The 14,227-nt window shown below is 39.4% G+C and overlaps 1 protein-coding gene across 2 annotated transcripts in view; it reads left to right on the top strand.

Moving 5' to 3' along the window:
- Window positions 1-14,227, top strand: part of PRKDC (protein kinase, DNA-activated, catalytic subunit) — a 187,026-nt gene that overhangs the window by 139,154 nt on the left and 33,645 nt on the right. For both annotated transcript variants that reach the window (NM_001081640.2, NM_006904.7), the window contains exons 66-69: window positions 40-264; window positions 1,473-1,581; window positions 3,422-3,533; window positions 13,657-13,846. In NM_001081640.2, the coding sequence (NP_001075109.1) occupies window positions 40-264; window positions 1,473-1,581; window positions 3,422-3,533; window positions 13,657-13,846 (636 nt within the window). The remainder of the gene's footprint in view (window positions 1-39; window positions 265-1,472; window positions 1,582-3,421; window positions 3,534-13,656; window positions 13,847-14,227) is intronic.

Raw genomic sequence — 14,227 nt, 5'->3', positions numbered from 1 at the left:
GGCCTTCTGTAGTTACAAGTATATTTTTATGTTCCTTAGGAAACATATCTACCTTACATGATCCGCAGCAAGCTGAAGCTGCTGCTCCAGGGAGAGGCTGACCAGTCCCTGCTGACATTTATTGACAAAGCTATGCACGGGGAGCTCCAGAAGGCGATTCTAGAGCTTCATTACAGTCAAGAGCTGAGTCTGCTTTACCTCCTGCAAGATGATGTTGACAGAGCCAAATATTACATTCAAAATGGCATTCAGAGTTTTATGCAGGTAATACTATATATTATATATATATGCTTGTATATATATAGTGTATATATATATTATAATGTGGATCTATCTGAAATATACTATTTTTAGGATATTTTTAAAACTCAGTAAACTCATGAAAAAAATCAACAAAAATTTTCAAGTACTATTTTCATACCACCTATTTCCTTCTTTCTGTTCTTCCAATAATGCTGTTCATTCTGTCCTTTATCTTAATGCCTTTTTAAATCTTTTTTTTCTATTTTAGAAAGGTTTCATTTTTTTTCCTTTTTGTTACCTTTCTCATACTCTTAAAGAACACTTGAGAGTAGGGTGTTTTTTTGTTTGTTTGTTTGTTTTTTGAGACCAAGTTTCTCTTTTGTCGCCTAGACAGTGGAGTGCAATGGCGCAATCTGGTTCAAGTGATTCTCCTGCCTCAGCCTCCCGGGTAGCTGGGATTACAGGCCCTCGGCTAATTTTAGTATTTTTAGTAGAGACGAGGTTTAACCATGTTGGCCAGGCTGGTCTTGAACTCCTGACGTCAGGTGATTCACCTGCCTCAGTCTCCCAAAGTGCTGGGATTACAGACGTGAGCCAACGCTCCTGACCAAGAGTAGACTTTTCTATTTGGGGTAGCGGAATGGAAGTTTGGTTGCTTTGTAGAGAAGAGCAGGGGTTGATCTTTCCTGATTGTTTGCTGCCACTCTTTCTTTCCTTTTTGCTTTTCTGCGAATCTTTTCCTGACAGTTGTTTGTTTGTAAGTGAATGTCTTGTATAAAGTTTATTAATAACATTTAGTATAGGTTAGTGACATTTAGCATAGAAGCATATTCATTCATTGTTTTCATTTTTATTTAATGTGTTGAAGTTGATTAGCACTCTTGAGGAAGTTTATCAAAAAAAGAATTGGCTTCTGTAGTCAGCAGTTTTACATTATAGGATGTTAGGATTGTTAAAACTTGGTGGCAAGTCGAGGCAGTGATAGCCTGGTGATGTCAGTTTTATTGATTTCATTGAGCCAAAATGTTATTGAAACCTTAAATTTTTTTTTAAAATTTAAACTATTTGTTAACTGTCTGTGATCTAATTATTAACCATTCTGAGGCATATTTATAGAATAATTGCTACATTTCATAATTTAGAGTACTGTTAAAAACTTAAAGTCACAGCTTGATTGATTTATAACATGGCATTTGTAAATGCCCTTTTTTTTTTTTTTTTTTTTTAAGAATTATTCTAGTATTGATGTCCTCTTACACCAAAGTAGACTCACCAAATTGCAGTCTGTACAGGCTTTAACAGAAATTCAGGAGTTCATCAGCTTTATAAGCAAACAAGGTAATTTTTTTCATCGGTCTTTTTTTTTCATTTCTAATTGTGGAAGAGTTTTAGCATCTAAATTATTTTCTGCTTAGTGAAAGTGCATGTTTCTTAATGTATGGGTTGGAAACTCCATCGAATTTCCTCTACAAATACCTATTTTCAGATCATTGAAATAAATGTTTAAAATGGTCAGGCAGAGTTCTAGGCATCAGGGCTGCAAAGTGAAAGAAAACATGTTGCTTACCTTAATGAAGCTTTTGGAGTAGCGGGGTGACTCCAGAGGATACCTGCCCACAAGGATGGTGGGGCCCACCCTGGCCTGAGAGGGTGCAGGACTCCTGGAGGAGGGTCCTGAGCAGTGGGGAAGAGGCAGGGGCTTGCAGACGGAAAGCTGTGGTGCCCCTGAGGTGCACGCTGAGGGCTCTGGGTGCCCTGGCTTGAAGGGAGGGCAGGAAGGCTGCGGGCAGCAGGGCCCACATCAGGAAGGCCTTTGTATCGCTGATGAGTGGGTTTTATCCCAGTGCCTATGGGAGGCCACCCAAGAGTCTAAGGGGAAGAGTACATCTTTGCAAAGGTAAAATGTTTTGTTTGTTAATCTGAATTTCATTTTTGTCCTAAATAATTAAAATTAATTACAAAAGATGCTTTCAGAATACTGATAAAAACTGATATTTATGTCTACCTAGTTATTTTCTATTTTAATTTTGGAAAATTATTTTTCAAGTACATATTAATCATATTAATGACGTATCATTTATTAAGTGCATTCTACTTTCAGGAGCTATGTTAATCTCTTTATCAATATTACCTAGTCTTTTTTTTTTTTTTTTTTTTTTTTGAGACGGAGTCTCACTCTGTTTCGCAGGCTGGAGTGCAGTGGCGGGATCTCGGCTCACTGCAAGCTCTGCCTCCCGGGTTCATGCCATTCTCCTGCCTCAGCCTCCCAAGTAGCTGGGACTATAGGCTCCCGCCACCATGCCTGGCTAATTTTTTGTATTTTTAGTAGAGATGGGGTTTCACCATGTTAGCCAGGATGGTCTCGATCTCCTGACCTCGTGATCCGCCCGCCTCGGCCTCCCAAAGTGCTGGGGTACAGGCATGAGCCACCGTGCCTGGCCAATATTACCTAGTCTTTATAACAACTTTATGAGATGGATTTTTTTCTCCTCATTTTTTAGAGGCTTATAGAGATTGAATGACTTGCCTAAGCTAATAAGTGAAAGATTTTAATTTTGAACCCAGGACTGTCTCATCTAATCTTGTGTTCCTGACTGCTGTTTTCCCCCAACAGAAAGAAAAACACATTAACAATGTGAATTTTCAGTTTTGTGAAGATTATTATGAATCTCTTTGCTGAGACCTTTGAGGCCAGAATGTTTTGGACACTAGAAATATTACCTGTGTACATGCCAGGGGCTAGGGCAGTATTCTGTAACTCTACAGCTTAAGTTATGAATATTCACATTGATGCCATAAACAAAGACTAAGTAGCCCTATACCAATGAAGATCAGATTTTTTTTGCCAAGAAAATTTGCTTCAACCCCATGAAAATCTTTTTAGTTATCAGTGCTTTTTAGATTTTGATATTACAGATGGACTGTAGACCTGTAATAAATGTAAAAAGAATTTGTGCATGTTTATTTCTCCATCTTTATTCTCTGTCCTTAAGCAATTGAGTTTAAATGTCAGAATATATTAAATTTAGTATGGTAACTTTGTGTTCCTTTTGTAAAAGAAAGGACTTTTTTGTAATTTGGGCAGGAAGTTTGAATTTTCTATTTACTGATAATGACCTTTGTCATTTGATCTTATAATTGAGCTGTGTGTATAGTCACCCTCTAATACTATTTTTAGGCAATTTATCATCTCAAGTTCCCCTTAAGAGACTTCTGAACACCTGGACAAACAGATATCCAGATGCTAAAATGGACCCAATGAACATCTGGGATGACATCATCACAAATCGGTAAGACGTGGTCCCTTTCAGTCAAATGTGGATTGTTTTTTGAAATTGTTGGAATGGTTTTTCTTCCAAACCATGGTTTAGAGAAATGTGGGATTTGAGCCTAGCACAGCTGTTTTCCATCCTTCCTGTTTCCCATGTAAGTAGTTCCGATAGAGCTCTCCGTGTCTGCAGTGTCCTCTTTCCCGCTTGCCCTGTGGGGACGCTGCTGTCGGGAGGTGCTGGTGGCTGATCCTGAACCTGCACCTCCAGGAAGGGAGACAGGGTCAGTGTGCATTTGCTTCTCTCACAACGGAATGTTAAGTAGTTAGATGACAACAAAGAAGACGACTACATAATGATTTTTATTATCCTATTTTTTATAACTAGGATTTTTGACATTCTTGCCTCCTACCTCCCAACTCCATTACACAGTCATGTGTCACTTTCCCAGGTCTCAGGTCATGTTCATGTCCTCATCTTCTCCATCCTGTAACTAACCTGTGGAATCCATAGGGCAGGTACTAACCATGTAATAAAATCAGAGAGGTTTATGGCACACAAATGTGTGTAGGAAATAGGACTTAAGGACTCTGACCCCAAGTGTCATGGTCTCCCATTATTTCCTCCACTACTACTTTTTTTTTTTTTTTAAACTTTTTATTTTGAGATGAGTTCTTGTGGAAAAGTTGCAAGAAAAGTAGTACTCTCCTGGGTTCTTTAACCCAGATTCACTGATTTTTTAAATAACATTTTAAACATTTTTCCATGTTAGTATTTGTATTTTTTTCTTTTCTACCAGACCCTACATATTATTTATTTTCTGAACCGGTTGTGAGCGTAAGCTGGATACATACCTTTGCCTCGTTATAGATCAGTGTTCATTTCTTAAGAAAAAGAATTTTTCTTTATGTAACTACTGTTCAGTGATGAACCTTGGTGCTTTCATTTTTCCTCTACAGCCCAATTTCAGTTTTGTTAATTGTCCCAGTAATGTCCTTTGTGGCATTTTCTCTACCTCTACAACAAGATCAGTACAGAATGATGGACTCTATTTATCTGATGTGTCTTTTTAGTCCCCTGAAAGGCTTTGTGTGTCCTAATACTGCCACTTTTGAGGAATGTTCCTCTGTTTGGGTTTGTCTTACGTTTCCTCATGGTGGGACTCAGGTGATCTGTCTCTGGCCAGAATACTTCTCAGGCTAGCAAATCACACGTGGGGCACAGTGTCCATCTGCCTTTTACTGGTGATAATTTTTTTTTTTTTGATGCAGTCTTTTTGCCCAGGCTGGAGTGCGGTGGCACAATCTCAGCTCACTGCAACCTCCGCCTCCCAGGTTCAAGCGATTCTCCTGCCTCAACCCCCCAAGTAGCTGGGATTACAGGCACGCACTACCATGCCCGGCTAAATTTTGTATTTTTAGTAGAGATGGGGTTTCACCATGTTGGCCAAGCTGGTCTTGAACTCCTGACCTCAAGTGATCCTCAAGTGAGCCTTGGCCTCCCAAAGTAATGGGATTACAGGCATTACTTACCATGCCCAGCCTGGTGATAATAATTTTGATTGTTTGGTCTCTCCACTGTATAATGCCATTTTTTTGCTTTTCTTTTGCAACTAACAAATAAATGTAGGAGCTGCTTTGAGACATACAAATGTCCTGCTTCTCCTAAGACTTATCCCTCTGTATTTCACATTTGTGGATGACTCCTGGCCCAAACCAGTGTTGACAATAATGGTTGCAAAATTATAATTTCCAACTCTACCATTCATTTATATTAGTCTACATCTTATTGTAAGCAGGCACCCTTCCTTCTGTTTACTTACTTATTTACTTTTTAAAGATTATCAATAAAGACTCAGGGATTCAAATTTTATTTAGTGGGATATAACCTATACTGTCCTTATTTATTTTGTGTTCAATTATCTCAGATTTGGCCAACAGGCTCCCCTTTAAGCTAACAAATCAGGCTCATCTTACCTGTCTTCTACTGTTTTCTTTTAGAAATGTTATGGTTTTAGGTCTTACATTGAGGTCTCTGATGCACTGGAAGAAAATTTTTGTAAATGGCGTGAGGTAGGGGTAGGTGTTTACTTTTTCCATATAGATATCTATCTAGCCGCATTTGTTCAAAAGTCTTTCATAATTGAGTCACCTTGGCAATTTTTTTGAAACTCAATTGACCACATATGTGTGGGTCTATTTCTGGATGCTCTATTGTAGCCCTTGCTTTGTGTTTTTTTCACAATAGCAAACTGCCTTCATTTATATCACTTTATAGTACGTTTTGAAGTCAGACAGGATGAGTTCTCGAACTTTTCTTTTTTTTGAGACAGGGTCTTACTCTGTCACCCGATAATGGCTCATTGCAGTCTCAGCCTCCCAGGTTTAAGCAGTCCTCCCACTTCAGCCTCTCAAGTAGCTGGGACCACAGGCGTGCGCCACCATGCCTGGCTAATTTTTTTGTCTTTTTTTGTGGAGACAGGGTTTCACTATGTTGCCCAGGATGGTATGTAACTCCTGGGCTCAAGCAACACGCCCACCTCAGCCTCCCAGTGTGCTGGGATTACAGGCATGAACCATGGCACCTGGCTCAACTTTCTTTATGAAAACTACTTTATTTTAGTTGATCTGCATTTCTATTTACATTTTAGAATCTGCTTGTCAATTTGTATAAAGAAAAACTGCTGAGATTTTGATTGGGACTGTATTGACTATAGTTTAATTTGGGGAGTTGCTATCTTAACAATATAGAGTTATCGAGTTCATTAATATGGCATATCTCTGTTAATTTAGATATCTTTAATTTCAGTGATTTGTATTTTTTCAGTATGGAGATCTTGGATGTCTTTTGTGATTTATTCCTAAGTATTTTATGTTTTTTGGCACTGTTATAGATGGATTTATTTTTAAAATTGTATTATTTTCCAATTATTTGCTGCTAATGTAATTGCTTTTTATATATTAACTTTGTATCTTTGCTAACATGGTAGTTTTAGTTCTTGTTTTGCAGGTTCTCTGGGATTTTCTATCATATCATCTGCCGATAGAGCCACCTTTCTTTCTTTCTGAACTTTATGCCATTTATTTCATTTTCCTGCTTTGTTAAAACCATGAGGACCTCAAGTACAATCTTGAATATACGTGCTAAAATGAGCATCTTAGTTTTATTCCTGATGTTAGAGAAGATAGTTCACTCACTCAGCTTTAAAAAATAATTTTTTTGTAAATGCCTTTTATCAGATTGAGGAAATTCCCTTCTATTCCAGGTTTTCTGAGAGTTTTGTTTTATCATGAATGAATGTCGAATTTTATCAAACACTTTTTCTGCAACAGCTTAATCATATTGTTTTTCTCCTTTATTGTGTTTATGAAGTATTAGCTTTGATGCTTTTTAAATATGAAGCCAATCTTGCATTCTTAGGGTAAACCCAATACGGTCATGATGATCCCTTAAGGATTTTAGCATCTACATCCAAGTGGGATATTGGTGTGTAATTTTCTTTTTTGTAATATCTTCATCAGGTTTTGGTATTAGGGTTATCATGGCCTCATAAGATGAGTAAGGCATGTTCCCTTCTCTATTTTAAAAAAAGTTTATGGCCAGGCGTGGTGGCTTATGCCTCTAATTCCAGCACTTTGGGAGGCCAAGGTGGGCGGATCACCTGAGGTCAGGAGTTCAAGACCAGCCTGACAAACATGGACAAAACCTGTCTCTACTAAAAATATAAAATTAGCCGAGCATGGTGGCACATGCCTGTAATCCTAGCTACTCGGAGGCTGAGGCAGGAGAATCGCTTGAACCCGGGAGGCAGAGGTTGCGGTGAGGCAAGATCGTACCATTGCACTCCAGCCTGGGCAACAAGAGCAAAACTCCGTCTCCAAAGGAAAAAAAAAAATTATATAAGATCCTCATTATTTCATACTTGAATATTTGATAGGATTTACCAGTGAAACCTATCCTATTTGGGCATGGGTTTTCCCTTGGGGAAGATTTTTGATAATGTATATAATTTCCTTAGTCAATACTGATAGAGAATTTAAACTTTCTATTTCTGGCTGGGCATGGTGGCTTACACCTGTAATCCCAGCACTTTAGGAGGCCGAGGTGGGTGGATCATTTGAGGTCAGGAGTTGGAGACCAGCCTGGCCAATATGGTGAAGCCCTGCCTCTACTAAAAATACAAAAATTAGCTGAATGTGGTGGTGGGCACCTGTAGTCCCAGCTACTCAGGAGGCTGAGGTAGGAGAATCACTTGAACCCAGGAGGTGGAGGTTGCAGTGAGCAGAGATCGTGCCATTGCATTCCAGCCTGGGAGACAGAGCAAGATTCTGTCTCAAAATAAATAAATAAATAAATAAATAAATAAATAAATAAATATAAAATTCTATTTTTGTGTCATTTTTGTTAAATTGTATTTTTCAATCACTTTGTCCATTTTCTTTTTAAATTTCTGCCTTCTTTATTTGTTTTTTAAAGTAAATTTGTCCATTTCATCAAAGTCATCAAATTATTGGTATAATGTTCACATTATTCTCATCCTTTTTATTATTTGTAGTGTCTGTGGAGGGAACCCCCTTTTTCATTCCAGATATTGGTTATTTGTGTTCTCTTTTTTAACACTTGATTCATCTGGGTAAAGGTTTGTGTCAGTTTTGCTTTTTCAAAGGATCAGTTTTTTACTTTGTTAATTTTCTTTATTATTTGTCTGTTTTCTATTTAATTGATTTCTAGTATCGTCTTTACTATTTTTTTCTTTTCCTCTTACCTTATATTTGCTTTTCTTTTTCTAGTTTCTTTAGGTGGAAACTGTTGATTTTATACCTTTTCTTCCTCCTAATATAAGCATTTAAAGTTATTTGTGTCCCTGTAAAGTACTGCTTTAGCTGCATTCTGCACATTTTGGTATGTCATTCAGTTCAACGTATTTTTCTAACTCTCATGTGACTTGATCCATTAAATATTTAAGTGTTTTAATTTCCAAATACCTGGGTTTTCTGGCTATCTTAGTGATTTCTAAATTCCACTGTGGTCAGAAAACACCCTCTGTATGATTTTGATCCTTTTAAATTTTATTGAGACTTCTTTTATGTGCCAACATATGGTCTATTTTAGTAAATACCTATGTAAACTTGAAAATTTTTGTATATTCTGCAGTTCCTGGGTATCAGGTTTTATAAATTTCAATGAGATCAAGGTAGTCAGGGATACTTTTCAGATCTTCCATGTCTTTACTGCTTGTTTGTGTAGTTCCATCACTGCTGAGAAAAGGATGTCAAAATCTCCTATGATTGTAGAATTGTCTGTTTCTGCCTTTACTTCTGTGTATTTTTACGTACTGTATTTTGATTCTGTTATTAGGTACATACATATGGATAACTGCTGTCTTCCTAATGAAATTATTTTTATTATACATTAAGTTCTGGGATACATGTGCAGAATGTGCAGGTTTGTTACATAGGTATACACATGCCACGGTGGAAATACTTTTTTTTTGTGATGGAATTTTGCTCTAGTTGCCCAGGCTGGAGTGCAGTGGCATGATCTTGGCTCACTGCAACCTGCATCACCCAGGTTCAAGCCATTCTCCTGCCTCAGCCTCCCGAGTAGCCGGGTTTACAGGCATGTGCCACCACGCCCAGCTAATTTTGTATTTTTTAGTAGAGACAGGGTTTCGCCATGTTGGTCAGGCTGGTCTCGAACTCCTGACCTTAGGTGATCCACCCACCTCAGCCTTCCAAAGTGCTGGGATTACAGGCGTGAACCACCATGCCCTGCCAAAATACTCCTTTTATCATTATGAAGTAATGATATGTTGATGTGTGTGTGGATGGATTTCATGTGTGTTTATCTGTGAAGTAACATATAATGAAAACACCACTAGATAACACTGTACTTTCAACAGTCATACATATTCTAAAGAACATATGTGGTTTTCCTCACATATTCTTTAGAACATAAGTATGTGTTCTTTATTATACTTACCACACTGTACTCATCATTTATTCCTAAGACCCAAGTTTTTCTCTTGTGTCATTTTCCTTTAGCCTAAAAATCTTCGTTTAGCAGTTCTTGTAATGCAGGTCTACTTGTGATGAACTCTTGTTAGTTTTTTCCTTCTCTGAAGATATCTTTATTTCTCTGTCATTCCTGAAGGACACTTTCTCAGAATGTATAATCTGGGTAGATTCTCCCTGCCCCTTGTAGTATCTTTTGGCTGCTGTGTCTCTGAAGATAATGTCCTCGTTATTCCCATCGTTGTGGCCCACATGTAATGTGTCATATTTTTCTGGCTGCATTCAAGATTTTTTTTCTTTATCATTGGTTATCAGCAGTTTGATTATGATGTGTCTAGGCCTGGTTCTCTTTGAATTTATCCCATCTGAAGTTCACTTACCTTCTTGAATCTGTACCTTTTTGTCACCAGATTTGGGGAGTTTTCAGTCATTGTGTTTCTTCAAATGCTTTTTGTCCAAATTTCTCTTGGTCTCTTTGTGGGAATGCAGTTACACATACATCGTGCCTTTTGACATTGTTCCATAGGTCCCTGACTCTGTTCATTTTTATTGTCTTTTTTTGTTGTTTATTCATCAGATTAGATCATTTCTATTGATTTGTCTTCAATCTTACTGTTATTTTCTTTTGTCTTACTTGTTCTTCTAGTAAGTCTGTCTAGTGACTGTTTTATCTTAGGTATTGTATTTTCCAGTTGTAAACTTTCCATTTGGTTTATTAAAAAATATTTTCTCTTTTTCTACTGAGATGCGCACCTTTTCATTTATTGCATGTGTGTTTTTCTTGACCTCCTGGAGCATAGTTAACATAGCTGCTTTAAGGTCCTTGTATGATCATTCCAGCATATGGGTCAGCATAGAGTTGGCATCTGTTTTCTGTTGAGATGGATACATTCTCCTGATTCTTTTTATCAGTTAATTTTTGAATGTAACTTGTGAATATAGTAGTCGCTTCTTATCTGTAGGAGTTCAAAGATCCCCAGTGGAATCCTGAAACCATGGATAATACCAAACCTTATGTATACTGTTTTTACCTATACATACACACATATGATAAAGCTTAATTTGTAAATTTGTACTCTTAGGCAGTAAGAGTAACAGCAATAACAATAATAAAGTAGAATAATTCAAACAGTATACTATAATAAACGTTATGTGAGTGTGGTCTGTCTCTCTCAAAATATCTTATTGCACTATATCTCCAGTAACTGAAGCCAGGGAAAGCAAAACTGCAGGTAAGATAAGGGGGACTACTGGATTCTCTTGTGTAGATGCTGGCTTATAATTCTGTAGCTGGTGATCTGTTTAGATAGTAGGCTCTGTCTTTCCTTTTGTTGGTTGAAACCTCAGTTCCTGTCCAAACCTGTGCTGTTTTGAGTCTGTCTGCACATGCACACTTCAGGGCAGCCTGAGCCTGGTGGGTTCATGTGCAGAACTAGAGGATTTTTCTCTGGTTCTCTCCCCTCCAGGATTCTCCCTGTAGCCCCTGTCTGCCTGGACTCCTTTTCCTGTTCCCCTGGGTAGAATGCAGCAGGCTTGTCTTAAGGATCTCAGTCACATTGCCACCACACTCCACAGGGGCAAAAGAGAGTAAGACAGAGAGGAAACAGGAAGCTCATCCCAATAGCAGACCTTCCCAGTTTTGATTTCCCTGCGCATACATACAGTCTGCCATCTTTTATTCACTCAGAGTTCTTGGGGAGTTGTATTTTATCCAGTTTCTAGTTGTTGTCAGCAGAGGATAGGCCACAAGGGGCTCACAGTGCCATACCGGATCCAGACTCTTGTTTTTAGAAAAGATGGTTCTCTTCTTGGTTTATTCTCCCTGATTTGATGTGAGAACATGTCACGCAGTGTAACTCTTCTCTGCCTTTGTTTAATTTGTTCCCTCTGTCTGGGACTCCCTTGTCAACTCCACTCCTAAAATTGCATGCACCCTTCACAGCCCAAGGAAGTCTGTCTCATTCTGTGGACGTTCCCACCTCCCTTTCCTGAGATCCCAGGCACTTTATTCACACTGGTAGGAGACATTTATGGATCCAGTCATTCATTATTTATTGAAATGTTAATCCAGTACCCACTTGTATTTATTTTTATGATTAAAAACAGTGAAAGCTTAAAATCAGTGGTAGCTTTAGGGAATGAGCCAGCACTGTGGTTGGTGTGGGGATGAGGAGCCCAGAGCAGTGTGGTGAGAACAGGAAATGGCCAGCAAGGGTTGTATCTTGGGAGTAACAAAAAAAGAGGAAAAAGGAAAAAGAGATGTGAAGCATGATGGTTTATCTTCCTGCAGTGTTTCCTTCTCCCCTCCCCTCCCCCTCCCTCCCATACCCTCCCTTCCCCTCTACTCCCCTGCACTCCCCTCCCCTCTCCTTTCCTCTCCTTTTTTCCTCTTTTTCCTTTCCTTTTCTTCTTTCCTTTCTTTCTTTCCTTCCACGCACAGGGTCTTGCTGTGCCACCCAGGCTGGAGTGCAGTGGTGCAGTCATAGCTCACTGCAGCCTCAAATTCCTGAGCTCAGGCGATCTTCCTGAGTAGCTGGGAATACAGGCTCACGCCACCATGCCCAGCTAATTTTTACATTTTTTGTCGAGATGAGGTATCACTATGTTGCCCAGGGTGTTCTCGAACTCCCTGGCCATACTGTTTCTAAGAAATTGGAAATGAGTTCCTGGAAAAACAACAGAAATTTACTTGATGGTTGATCAGGGATGAGCTTTGTATATTAGGGCCCTTTGTCAGTGTTACTAATATTAATAGAAATAAAATTACTTGGACAGAATCATACATGTAAATTATGATTCAAATAAAAAGAATTTTGAAGTTGGGCATGGTGGCACACGCCTATTGTTTCAGCTTCTTGGGAGGCTGAGGCAGGAGGATTGCTTGAGCCCAGGAATTCAAGGCTGTAGTGTGCTATGATTACATCTGTGAATAACTACTGCACTACAGGCTGGGCAATATAGTGAGGCCTGTCTCTAAAATAATAATAATTTAATAGCAACCTAGACTTCTCTTTTAAATTTTCATGGCTGGGCATGGTGGCTCATATCTGTAATCCCAGCCTTTAGAAGGATTCCTTGAGCCCAGGAGCTCGAGACCAGCCTGGCAACATAGCAAGCCTCCGTTTCTACAAAAAAGTGTAAAACTTAGCTTGATGCGGTAGCACGCACCTGTAACCAACCCCGGCTATTTGGGAGGCTGAGGGAAGAGGATTGTGTGAGCTTAGGAGGTCGAGGCTGCAGTGAGCTGTGATTGCACCACTACACTCCAACATGGGCAACAGAGCAAGACCCTGTCTCAAAAAAATAAAAAAGAAAATTTTCAGTGATTTTAAACTGTTTACTGTTATGTATTTATCACCTTAAGTTGGGACATATAAGGAGCAAAATGGCTCAACACAGGGTATGTTACCCATTCATCAAAAGATAAAATTTAGGCCAGACATGATAGCTCACTCCTGTAATCCCAGCACTTTGGGAGCCCAAGGCAGGTGACCCAAGGATCACCTGAGGGTCAGGAGTTCAAGACCAGCCTGGCCAACATGGTGAAACCCCGTCTCTACTAAAAATACAAAAATTATCTGGGTGTGGTAGTGCACGCCTGTAGTCCCAGCTACTCAGGAGGCTGAGGCAGGAGAATCGCTTGAACCCAGAAGGTGGAGGTTGCAGTAAGTCGAGATCGTGCCACTGCACTCCATCCTGGGCGACAGAATGAGACTCCATCTCAAAAAAAAAATAAGTAGGCCGGGTGCGGTGGCTCACGCCTGTAATCCTAGCACTTTGGGAGGCCAAGGTGGCCAGATAACGAGATCAGGAGATCGAGACCATCCTGGCTAACACAGTGAAACCCCGTCTCTACTAAAAATACAAAAAATTAGCCGGGTGTAGTGGCAGGCGCCTGTAGTCCCAGCTACTCAGGAGGCTGAGGCAGGAGAATGACGTGAACCCGGGAGGCAGAGCATGCCGTGAGCCTAGATGGTGCCACTGCACTCCAGCCTGGGCAACAGAGTGAGACTCCATCTCAAAAAAAAAAGAACAAACATTTACTAAGGTTTAGAATTTCTGCCTGTAATTGCTATCCAGCAGCTTCCTATTCCTGAGTCTGTGACATTGTCTCATTTTTCTTTGTGTAGATGTTTCTTTCTCAGCAAAATAGAGGAGAAGCTTACCCCTCTTCCAGAAGATAATAGTATGAATGTGGATCAAGATGGAGACCCCAGTGACAGGATGGAAGTGCAAGAGCAGGAAGAAGATATCAGCTCCCTGATCAGGAGTTGCAAGTTTTCCATGAAAATGAAGATGATAGACAGTGCCCGGAAGCAGGTGGGTACTCGTGTCTGTCCTCCCTGCTGTGTCACAGGATTTTGCTAAATTAGCTTTTCTCTAATTTTAGCTTTTCTTTAGAGTCTGAACCTTAAAATAATTGGTAGGTGTTATTTTTTTTCTCTCTTTATAAGTAAACTTGGCCGGGTGCAGTGGCTCACACCTGTAATCTCAGCATTTTGAGAGGCCAAGGCAGGCGGATCACTTGAGCCCAGAAATTAGAGACCAGCTTGGGCAACAGAATGAGAGCCTGTCTCAGAGAAAAAGGAAACTTGAAGGAGCACTTATTCAAAACTCTCCAGAAAGCCTCTAGAGTTTATTATATTCCTGTTAATCATTTCAAAATGATTGTTAGCTGTTACTTGAAAAGCAGATAAACCT

This window comes from Homo sapiens, chromosome 8, assembly GCF_000001405.40.
Source record: "Homo sapiens chromosome 8, GRCh38.p14 Primary Assembly".
Lineage (NCBI taxonomy): Eukaryota > Metazoa > Chordata > Mammalia > Primates > Hominidae > Homo > Homo sapiens.
This window is presented reverse-complemented; position numbering and strand designations above follow the sequence as displayed.